This window comes from Homo sapiens, chromosome 17 (genome assembly GCF_000001405.40).
Source record: "Homo sapiens chromosome 17, GRCh38.p14 Primary Assembly".
Classification (NCBI taxonomy): domain Eukaryota; kingdom Metazoa; phylum Chordata; class Mammalia; order Primates; family Hominidae; genus Homo; species Homo sapiens.
Window position 1 is genome coordinate 36,949,634 of NC_000017.11, and position 12,212 is coordinate 36,961,845.

At 41.3% G+C, this 12,212-nt stretch overlaps 1 protein-coding gene across 3 annotated transcripts in view; it reads left to right on the plus strand.

Moving 5' to 3' along the window:
• AATF (apoptosis antagonizing transcription factor) overlaps positions 1 to 12,212 on the plus strand; it is a 107,918-nt gene that overhangs the window by 680 nt on the left and 95,026 nt on the right. For all 3 annotated transcript variants that reach the window (NM_012138.4, NM_001411094.1, XM_047435748.1), the window contains exons 2-4: positions 581 to 772; positions 3,253 to 3,663; positions 4,137 to 4,274. In NM_012138.4, the coding sequence (NP_036270.1) occupies positions 581 to 772; positions 3,253 to 3,663; positions 4,137 to 4,274 (741 nt within the window). The remainder of the gene's footprint in view (positions 1 to 580; positions 773 to 3,252; positions 3,664 to 4,136; positions 4,275 to 12,212) is intronic.

The window sequence follows — 12,212 nt, forward strand, 5'->3', positions numbered from 1 at the left end:
ATGGAAGGATTTTCTGGTGCTGTTTAAGTCTCTTGAAGTCTCAAGACACTTGTTCAGTGGCTGACGACTGAGACTCCTGTTCTGTAAGCTGATGTTCAGAGTCTAGCTGGGAGTAATCCCGCTTTAGACTTGAGTCGGAAGTGTGAGAAAGGGATAATAAGGAGGGATAAATGCGAGTGCTGAACCGTATCTTAGGAAGATCAGTTGAAGAAACTCGGGACTGTTTAGCCAGAATAAGCAAAGAAAACTCCCCAAAGAATGGGACAGAGTGAGGGGAGAACGTGATGACTGATTTAAGATATTGGAGCGACTGTCACACATTGAAGAGGAATTCAACTAGTTTGATAGGATCCAAGTCATAGAAATAGATCCCACTAGTAGATGCCAGGAGTCAACTTTCTGTTTAGAAACAGCAGTAAGACAGTGTTCTACTTTGGGAGAGAGTGAATTTCCTATTCCTGGAAGTTGGTGGGGATTTCGTAAAGGACGTTCAACTATGAGATAAATGGGTCGACCAGGGTTCCCGTTAAAGTTTCTGCTAACCTGGAGATTCTGTTTACTTTTCCCTCTCCCCCGACAGCCACTGCTGCCAGGGTGATTGACAGGTTTGATGAAGGGGAAGATGGGGAAGGTGATTTCCTAGTAGTGGGTAGCATTAGAAAACTGGCATCAGCCTCCCTCTTGGACACGGACAAAAGGTATTGCGGCAAAACCACCTCTAGAAAAGCATGGAATGAAGACCATTGGGAGCAGACTCTGCCAGGATCGTCTGGTGAGTAGACATTTTTGAATGGAACTCTTCTCTTCCCTAATTTTTTCAGGGTTAAAATCCTCCGGTCATCCCCCATGATCTTTGCAAGAGTAGTCTGCGGATCTTTTTTTTGAGACAGAGTTTGGCTCTTGTTGCCCAGGCTGGAGTGTGATGGCGCCATCTCGGCTCACCGCAACCTCCACCTCTGGAGTTCAAGCGAGGCTCCTGCCTCAGCCTCCCGAGTAGCTGGGATTACAGGCATGCACCACCACGCCCGGCTAATTTTGTATTTTTAGTAGAGACGGGGTTTGTCCATGTTGGTCAGGCACCCCTATCTGTTATCTTAGGAGAGACCATTGATTTGGTATTAGAAAGGGTCTTAGAGGTTACTTCATTTCACTTCATAAGGAATCTAAAGCCCAGAGTGATTAAGTTGCTATACTCCTTATGTTCGGACTAATGGCTCACCCTACAGTGGAGTGACAGAGAAGGCAGTGCATTTTGGCTACTGGAGAGGGTTATGAGCTGAAAAACCACTGTGTCTGATGAACATGTTATCCTTGAATTGTGACCCCTGACCTTTGGTTTTCCAGGACTTGCATTGAAGCACTGTGTGATATTAGTTATTTGTGAAACTCATTTTTTGCCATTCTAAAAAATCACATAATCCTTCTCTTCCCTGCAAAAGAGTTAGGAGTCTGTGCGCTTATAGTTTTAAAGAATTGTAAATTTCTCAGAGTGGAAGAAGGGGCTAGATATGGTGATTATTGGGAGAATGTCATTTGTTTTCCTTTAGAAAGGTCAGGGGTGTCATGTTGAGAATCCACAGATAATATAAAAGGAACTATCATTTAGGTTATGATATCTATGATTTAGTCCTTGATGTAGTTCTGGGAGCTCCTGATAAGCTCATTTCATATTCTTTGCCTAGAGACTGATAAAGGGACCAATCATGAGACAAATATGATAATATTTATTGAGTTCTTACCATGCGTCAGGCACTGAGTTTAGCTCTATAATTTAAGTTCTAAGAGCCTGGGACACAGTAAGTCCTCAAAAAAAAAATTATAAAATTACCTGGAATTAGACAGATTTTTATAAAAAATTATCACCATTATCACTACATGTGTCACCTAATTTAATCCTCCCAATTGCGCAGGAAGTTATTACTACTTAGCCCCATTTTACAGATAAGGAAATCGAGGGGCAAATTGGTTACATAAGTTTGCTCAAGGTCATATAGTTAGTAAGTGGAAGAAACATGATTCAAATGTAGGCTGTCTGACTCCAAGATGTACACTCTAGTAAACTCTGTATGAATGTTTCTTAATCTGAGAAATGGCGTACATTCAAAGAATTTAAATAATAATTTCTGTTTACTGTTTTGGCACTTAGTTTTTGTATTTATATTTTTGGCAGCTTTGTGTCTTAAGTTTATATATACCTTTTTAAAGAAGCGCTGAAGACCTGTCACGCTTTCCTAAAATCTTTATTTTATTGAAGAAAGTTTTTGGAAACTGGTCCCTCTATCTTAGAATCATACTTGAAACACATGGGGCTTTTATGTTCTACCATGGAACAGATTGGATAAACTGTAAAAACCTCTACATATCAGATGATACTCTAAGCATAAGTCAAACAAAGAGCCTTAACTAGCACTCTGTCTACTATAGGATCAAGTTCAGAGTCCTCATGAAAGACGAGACCTTTCCTGATTAGTCTCATCTCCCATCACTTCCTTGTGCATCCTGCACTCCAGTGCGTTTTCCCTTCATTATCTATGAGCTGTTGCCTTATGCTTCATAAGTAAAATTATAATGTCTCCTTCTCCACATGATACCATCCCCCACCTTTCCAGGAGAGTTAGGTGGTTCCATCTCCATACACTGTGTACTAATGACCTTGTAATATAATTATTGGCATGCATATCTACCACTCCCACCAGACCATGAACTCCTCCCAGCAAGTATTAAATTCTATTTGCCTTTCCTTAGCCCCTGGCTCATAATGAGTGCTTAATAAGTATTTAGTAAATAGGGCAGACGGATGTGATAGATTGTACATTTTTTCAGATCAGGTTTGGGAAAACTGGTAATTCTCTAACACCAGTTGAAATCTTACTGTTCTTCAAGGGCCAGAGCAAATGCTAGCTCTTCCTTAGAGATTAGCTTAAATTCACTTGCCCCACAGTTAAAATTTCTCACTCTTCTGGGTTATTGAAATTTTGTCAAAGCACTTCTGATGCTTCCTTGAGTTGTAATGTTGTGAGTCTGTCTTTCCCACTAGCTCCTTTTGTTAGGGTAGGACCCGTGTTCTATTCATCTTTGCTTCTCCCTTAGCATTTTGGAGATTGTAGATGTGTAATAAATATATTGTTGAATTGAGTGCAGTAAGAGATTTTCCCCCTGATGCCACAGTGCTTAAGTTGAAATGAAGTCTATGGCTTGGTATTTTCTCCAGGTAATACCCATTTTTCTCTTTCTTCCCTCTCTTCTTTGTAGATGAGGAAATATCTGATGAGGAAGGGTCTGGAGATGAAGATTCAGAGGGACTGGGTCTGGAGGAATATGATGAGGACGACCTGGGTGCTGCTGAGGAACAGGAGTGTGGTGATCACAGGGAGAGCAAGAAGAGCAGAAGCCACTCTGCAAAAACACCGGGCTTCAGTGTCCAGAGTATCAGTGACTTTGAGAAATTTACCAAGGGAATGGATGACCTTGGGAGCAGTGAGGAGGAGGAAGACGAAGAGAGTGGCATGGAAGAAGGGGATGACGCGGAAGACTCCCAAGGCGAGAGTGAGGAAGACAGGGCTGGAGATAGAAACAGTGAGGATGATGGTGTGGTGATGACCTTCTCTAGTGTCAAAGTTTCTGAGGAAGTGGAGAAAGGAAGAGCCGTGAAGAACCAGATAGGTTTGTACATGGTTTTGCTGATTGCCTGTTTTTCAAAGTATCTGCATTTGGTCTACTTTTCATTTGTTTGTTTTTGGCTATTCTCTATCTCCTGTGTCCTTTCAATTAGTTTGTGACATGCCCCACTTACCCAGAAGCCTAAAGCCCTATTCCTGTATGCTTAGCCAGCCATTTCTGCACTGATCTGCTTAGCTGGTTCTGCTCTAGTACTTCCTGCAACTGGGGAAGATTGAAGAGAAGAGTGTTTTCTCCTCTCCTTGGGTTTTAGCATTCCCACTCTGCTGTAGCAAATACTTGCTTCATGGATACTGAATTTATTTTCTCTAATAGAGAATATTTGTTTCCATGGCATTAAACTGCTAAAGCTGTGGTGCTTAGAGACTGGTGTGGTTTCCTGTTCTTCCCCACCCCTGCCACCTCACCCCCAGAATATTTTATTATTGAGGAATGGGATTCTCTTTTCTTCTTTTCAGCACTGTGGGACCAGCTCTTGGAAGGAAGGATCAAACTACAAAAAGCTCTGTTGACCACCAACCAGCTTCCTCAACCAGATGTTTTCCCATTGTTCAAGGACAAAGGTGGCCCAGAATTTTCCAGTGCCCTGAAAAATAGTAAGAATACTTATGTCCTGTTGGAATACTTAGAACCACTTTGTCAAATGAAGACAGCTTTGATTGAAGTGGACTGGGAGCTTGAGCCATGTTTATTGTGCTTTCTTCTCATCTGCCCTTGCTCTCCCCTCCCCATCCCCCTTGGCTTTCCAAGTTGCTTTTTTTTTTTTTTTTTTTTGAGACAGAGTCTCGCTCTGTTGCTGAGTCTCAAGTACAGTGGCGCGATCACAGGTTACTGCAGCCTCGTCCTCCTGGGCTCAAGCAATCCTCCCACCTCAGTGATCCTCCCACCTTAGCCTTCCGAGTAGCAGGGACCACAAGCGTGCACCACCCTGCCTGTAGAGAGGGATATTTTGTAGAGACAGGGTCTCACTGTGTTGTCCAGGCTGGTCTCAAACTCCTGGCCTCAAGCAATCCTCCCACCTTTGCTTCCCAAAGTGCTAGGATTACAGATGTGACCTACTGAGCCTGGCCCTGAGTTAATTCTTTAAAGCTCAGGGGACACTGGTTGAAAACCCACTGATGTAGAAAGGGAGAAAAAGAATGTCTAATTCAGCTCATTAAACTTGGTTGTATCATGTGTTTAAAAGATGCTTCCTATGTTTGAGAGGTTTTTAGAACAATGTGCTAAGATGATCTTATTTATATCTTTCTTTGAGTGACATAGAGTGAGGAAAGATGATATGCCGAGGGAGAAACACATTTTAGAGGAGAATTACTGAGCTATAAAGAATTCTAGAAGAGGAAAAGGAATTGAGAGACTATTTGGTTCCCAATGTCTTCATTTTACACATGAGAGAATTAAGACCCAGAATGACTTGCCCAAAGTTGCAGAGCTTATTTGTGTATGGCGGAGATGAGGCTCCAACTTTTCTACCTTATGATGTAGGAATCTTCCCTCTGCACCACACTGCCTCCTGTGTGCTGCTTGCCTGTGTGCCCAGTGGCACTGAAGGACTGGGGCAGAGGGAGATTTAGGGTGAGTGTGCTGTGTTTGGGATCTGTATATATCTATATCTAGATATTCAGAGTCCTCATGAAAGAGATATCTATATCCATAGATATAGATATATATGTATAGATTATGTATCTATCTCTCTATATATATATTTGGGAGGCCTTGGCCTCCCAAAGTGTTGGGATTACAGGCATGAGCCTCTGCGCTCAGCTGAGATCAATATGTCTTACTTGCATGCTGAGACTTCATGTTTTCATTTGCTCTTTAAAACTTATTTTTTTAGTATCATGGAGTTAGAGTTGGAAGGGACCTGAGGAGGATATCTAATTTGGCATCTGCCTGTAGGTAGAACCGCCTTAAGACATTCAAGATCAATGTGTAGGATTTCCCAGGTAGGGAGTTCAGTGAACGTTTCTTGTAGGTGAATACCTGATGTAATTAGGAATGGCTTCCTAGAGTCCAGTTTTTGGGTTTTGTGTCCCGCCACACTTAAAGTCTGCTTCTTCCCCTGTGGGAAGTCTGGGCAGTCCTTCCCAGGAGCCTTACGTGGCCTGTGTGGGTGAGGTGGGCCATTTATATCCCCGCCCCTGTCTTTGCCTCCTTTCTCTCTCAAATAGATGACAGATTGATGGTTTTCAAGTTTTTTGAGATTTTTGGAGCACTTCTCTGCTATTTTTAGTGTCCTAGTACCCTAATTCCTGGTATGCCTTTGGAATGAGACCTAGACTGCTCTAGATTAAATGTTTTAAATGTTTCACGATAAGGCCTGTTTTCATTTTGTTACTCATTATTCTTTTTGCTTGAGCCTTTTTCATTTTAAAAAATTCATATTTAAATATAGATATTTTAGGGGTTAGTCAGTGTCCAGTATAATGGACACATATTCTTGGATACGATTTAATTTCTTTTTGTTATGAGACAGGGTCTTGCTCTGTTGCCCAGGCTGGAGTGCAGTAGCGTGATCATAGCTCGTTGCAGCTTCGAACTCTTGGGTTCAAGTGATCTTCCCGCCTCAGCCTCCTGAGTAGCTGGTACTACAGGCATGAGCCACCATGCCCGACTAATTTTTTCTTTTTTTGTGGAAATAGGGTCTCACTATGTTGACCAGGCTGGTCTCAAAACTCCTGGTTTCAAATGATCCTTCCGTGTCAGCCTCCCCAAAATGCTGGGATTACAGGTGTGAGCCACCATACTCAACTCATTTAGTGTCTTTAATCACTGCAGTGTTATTTAACTTTTATTTTGTTCTGATCTTTTTACTCTTTTTTGTACTTAACCAATTGCCTTTACCTCATTGATGAACCTCAATTAATCTGACAGCATCTATTAATCTGACAGGGTGGGTTGTGGTGGAGGAGGGAGAAGAAAGGAAGTTTGGTATCACATATTCTAAGGTGGGAGGGTAGGGAGTTTTCAAGTAATGAGCTGTGCATTTGAAGAGTAGCTAATTTTTCTTGTGGCAATATGACATAATATGTTGTATACTCCCCTGTCTTGATAAACAGACTTTAAGAAAAAAATTCTTGGCCGGGTGCAGTGGCTCACGCCTGTAATGCCAGCACTTTGGGAGGCCGAGGTGGGCTGATCACCTGAGGTCAGAAGTTTGAGCCCAGCCTGGCCAATGTGGTGAAACCCCGTCTCTACTGAAAATACAAAAATTAGCCAAGTGTGGTGGCAGGTGCCTGTAATCTCAGCTACTCGGGAGGCTGAGGCAGGAGAATTGCTTGAACCTGTGAGGCGGAGGCTGCAGCGAGCCAAGATTGTGCCATTGCACTCCAGCCTGGGCAACAAGAGTGAAACTCCGTCTCAAAAAAAAAAAAAAAGTTCTTGGCCGGGCACGGTGGCTCCCGCTTATAATCCCAGCACTTTGGGAGGCTGAGGCAGGCGGATCACTTTAGGTCAAGAGTTTGAGACCAGCCTAGCCAACGTGGTGAAATCCCATCTTTAATAAAAATAAAAATATTAGCCAGGTATGGTGGTACACACTTGTAGTCCCAGCTACTTGGGAGGTTGAGGCAGGAGAATCACTTGAACCCGGGAGCAAAGGTTGTAGTGAGCTGAGATCGTGCTAGTGCACTCTAGCCTGAGCGACAAGAGCGAAACTGTCCCCCCCGAAAAAAAAAAGAGAGAGAGAGAGAAAATTCTTGAGCACATTACTCTGGATGACCAATTTATTACTGTGCTGTATAGCTGGTGTGGAACATAGGCTGAATTTGTACCAACCCCAGAACAACCACTGGAACTTACTGTCTTTAATTAAATCTCTTTTCAATTTGCTTGGTCTTACAGAGTAGTTAAAGTCAGACCGGCTTGGTTTAGATTTCATCTCAGCAATGGATTAGCCATGTGACCTTGGGCAAGTTACTTAACTTCACAGTAAAATGGGGATAATATGGTTGTGAGGATTAAAGGACATAATCAATAGAAAGCATTAGCACAGTGTCTGGCACACATCTCACCATGAATGTTAGGTACTAATATTATCTTTTTCTGCTCAAAGAGGCATTTGGCAGTGTTCGACCATGTGAGCAATCACTCAATAGTTATCAGTGTAACTGAGCCTCACTAGTCTTCAGTGTTTTTTACTTTTTTATTAGTATTTGGATTCTTTATATAATTTAAATTAACTAATTGTTCTGGAAAGTGTTATAGTTTACTAATACTTACAATGCAGTGTTGGCCTCTTACGACGCTATGGAAAGATGGCTACAGATTTCCTTATTGCTATACCCAGCTACTACCTCCTTGAAGCGTTTAACTTTTCCTTGAAATACTTTTCTTTGGCTTGGTGACACTACCTGTGCTGTTTGGGTTCTCCTACCTTTCTGATCTCTTCTCTGGTTCCTTTTGTATCCTCTCAATGTAAATTTCATTCCGTTTAGAATCCTGTCCTCAGGTTGCGTTTTCTCAATATAGTCTCTCCTTGGCACTGTCACTTACTCTGATAACCCTAACTATTGCCTCTAAAATAACAGACTTCCAGCTGTATTCTAGCTCCAGTAAACTCCTGAGTACCATGCCTTTGTAGCTTCAGCACCCTAAACTCTACTTTTCAGAAACTAAATGAATATCTCCTTCCTCTCCACACACCACCCCAAACACGTAAACTTAGTCCCCAGTCACCTTGGTGTTACATGTTGGTAATTTAAACTTGAACTGTGGAAGTGATTTCAAAGACATCGTCTGATATTTTAGTGGCTGCATAAGTGGTAAGTCATGGAGTAATCTTAACAAAATTAAGGGATTTTCTGTGCACAAAACCATTTCTCTAAAAGGGTTTGCTTTTTCTCTCTTTCTTTTTTTTCTTTTTTTTTTGAGATGGAGTCTCTCTCTGTCACCCAGGCTGGAGTGCAGTGGTGCGATCTCAACTCACTGCAACTTCTGCCTCCCAGGTTCAAGCGATTCTCCTGTCTCTGCCTCCTGGGTAGCTGGGACTACAGGCGCATGCCACCACACCCGGCTAATTTTTGTAATTTTTTTTAGTAGAGATGGGGTTTCACCATGTTGGCCAGGCTGGTCCTAAACTCCTGATCTTGTGATCCACCCACCTTGGCCTCTCAAAGTGCTGGGCTTACAGGTATGAGCCACTGTGCCTGGCCTTCTCTCTTTTAGAATTTCTACTGTATTAGGAAATACATCTTTTATGTTGGTGGCAATGATATGTAAGGAAGAAGGGAAGTTACTTAAGGAAATCTCACCATGAGTTATTTAAAACTTTTCATTATGGGATATATCAAACTTATATAAAAGTAGAGAAATAGCACAGTGAACCCCCACATGCCTTCACCAGCTTAAGCAATAATCAATTCATGGTCAATCTTATTTCATCTGTAGTTGTACCAACTCTGCTCACCTTCTGGATTATTTTGAAGCAAATAATACACATTCTCTCATCAGTAAAATTTTCAGCATGTATGTTCAAAAGATAAGGATTTTAAAAAATTATACCATAATCTCATGTAAAAACATTAACAGTAATTTCTTAATAAACATAACTGGCCTGGTGTGGTGGCTCATGCCTGTAATCCTAGCACTTTGGGAGGCCAAGACAGGTGGATCACCTGAGGTCAGGAGTTCGAGGCCAACCTGACCAACATTATGAAACCCCGTCTCTACTGAAAATACAAAAAATTAGCTGGGTGTGGTGGCGGGCACCTGTAATTCCAGCTATTCAGGAGGCCAAACAGGAAAATCTCTTAAACTCGGGAGGTGGAGGTCGCAGTGAGGCGAGATTGCGCCACTGCACTCCAGCCTGGGCAACGAGCAAAACTCCGTCTCAAAAAAAACAAACATACAGACTGGGTGTGGTGGCTCATGCCTGTAATCCCAGCACTTTGGGAGGCCAAGGTGGGCAGATCACCTGAGGTCCGGAGTTCAAGACCAGCCTGGCCAACATAATGAAACACCGTCTCTACAAAAGTACAAAAATTAGCCAGGCATGATGGTGGGTTCCTGTAATCCCATCTACTCAGGAGGCTGAGGTGGGAGAATTGCTTGAACCCAGGAGGCAGAGGTTACAGTGAGCAGAGATCATGCCATTGCACTCCAGCCTGGGTGACAGAGCGAGAGTCTGTCTCAAGAAAACAAACAAACCAACAAACAAAAAACATGACTGATTTGGATGGGTGGGAAAATTGTAAGTAAATGTCTTTTTTGTTTTTTTTCTTTTCTTTAAGGCAAAAGGTCCTAGAGAGTATTTCTGTAACGGGTACTCTACTGTCTTTTTCAGAGTTTGCTCTATAGCTTTAAATGAAGTGATTAAAGGAAAGCTAAACTTCAGTCATAATAAGTTGACCTTTTAGTGCAATGCATGTTATTAATGTATTTAATGAGATGCATTACAAACTGCAGTGAGCACCATGTTTCATTACAGGTCTAAAATGCAATATCATTAAAGACCTTTAATAGAAACAATGGTTGTCATTTTGATATTTCCCGTAAGCAAAACATCCAAGAACACAGCATAATGTAATATAAATACAGAGAAAGTATTAAGATTTTTTACTTTCCTAAGAGTATGAAAACAGATTTCACTATTAATAAATTATATTTTGTTTGCACCCTGTTATCTTCCCATTTCATACTTACACTCTCATATCTTTGTGGTCCTTGCCCAAAAGCCCCAATTATTTTGACTTGACTAGACTAAAATTTTTTTCCCCCCCCGAGATGGAGTCTTGCTCTGTCGCCGAGGCTGGAGTGCAGTGGTGCGACCTTGGCTCACTGCAACCTCTGCCTCCCGGGTTTAAGTGATTCTCCTGCCTCAGCCTCCGGAGTAGCAGGGAGTACAGGCATGCAGCACCACGCCCAGCTAATTTTTGTATTTGTAGTAGAGACGAGGTTTCACCATATTGGCCAGGCCGGTCTTGAACTCCTGACCTCAAGATCCACCCGCCTCGGCCTCCCAAAGTGCTGGGATTACAGGCATGAGCCACTGCACCCGGCTAGACTAAAATTTTTAATGGTAATTTGTCCTCAGCAATAATAGATACCTTAAATAATAATGTTTTAAATTTTGCGTAAGCTGTGGGAAATCATGGAGTCTTGATAATGTTTTGTTTTTAAAGTTTTACTTATTTTTAAGTAGGCAGTACATTCACATAGTTCAAAATTCAAAAATACTAAAGACTATATATACAGTGATAATCCTGTACCCCTGCCGCCCAGTACCCTGTCCCACAGGCAACCAATTTTATCACTGAAATCCCCCCCTTTTAAATTACTTAGTTGCCTTAGGTGACAAATCCATAAATGATTATTTCGGAGTTCTCTCAGTTAACACTTTATGGGTTCTTGGCAAAGTTCTCACAATGTTCTGTAGAACCTTGAAATATTTTTAATTACTTGGGATGGGTTTAAGTATTGCTTGGGATAAAGGCACTTGCAACCCCCTCTAATTGTAACATTGTGTAGGCTTAAGGACCCTTATTGCTGCAGACTTCATCTAGCCAAGATGATGTGAGTAAGATTGATCTTTTTGCTTCAGCTGATGGCTATCATTTTTTAAAATAGCTTCAGTGTTCTAATTATAAAAGTATGTCATGCTTATTTCAAAGATCGGAAAATACATAGAAGCATAAAGAAGAAAATAAGGATTAGCTGTAATCCTACTGCCCAGAGATAACCATAGTTGTCATTTTGATGAATATCCTTCCAGACCTTTTCGCGTGCACACACACACACACCACACACTTTTTAAAACAGAAAATGGAATCATATAAGTATGTACTATTTTCAAGCTTATTTTTCCTACTTAATATTTCATGTCAGTATATTTAGATGTACATCAGCATTTTTAGGAGTTGAAGTATTCCTTTTTATAGATTTACTGCAATTTAGTTAACCAATCTGTATTGATGGGTGCTTAGGTTTATTCTAGCTATTCACTTGTATAAAACATGCTTTAATAAACATCCTTGTACATACATATTTGTGCAGTTTGTCTAAAAATAGCACTGTCCAGTAGAAATATAATGCAAGCCACATGTAATTTAAAATTTTTTAATAACCACATTTTAAAAAAGAAACAGTTAAAATTAATTTTAGACATATTGAACCCAATATATCAAAGATATTATAATTTCAATATGTGATCAATATAAAAATCTTAATGAGATATTTTACATTCCTTTTTTCATGTTAAGTCTTTGAAATCCAGAGTATATTCTATAATCACAGTTCATCTCAATTGGGACTAGACACATTTTGAGTGCTTAGTAGCCACGTGTAGCTAGTGGATACTGTATCATATTGCCCAGATCTATATTCCCTGGAAATGTAGTTGCTGGGACAAAGGACTTGTACATTGATTTTTTTTTTTTTTGGAGACAGAGTTTTCACTCTTGTCGCCCAGGCTGGAGTGCAATGGCAGGATCTCGGCTCACTGCAACCTCTGCCCCGCCGGGTTTAAGCAATTCTCCTGCCTCAGCCTCCTGAGTAGCTGGGATTACAGGCATCCACCACCGTGCCTGGCTAATTTT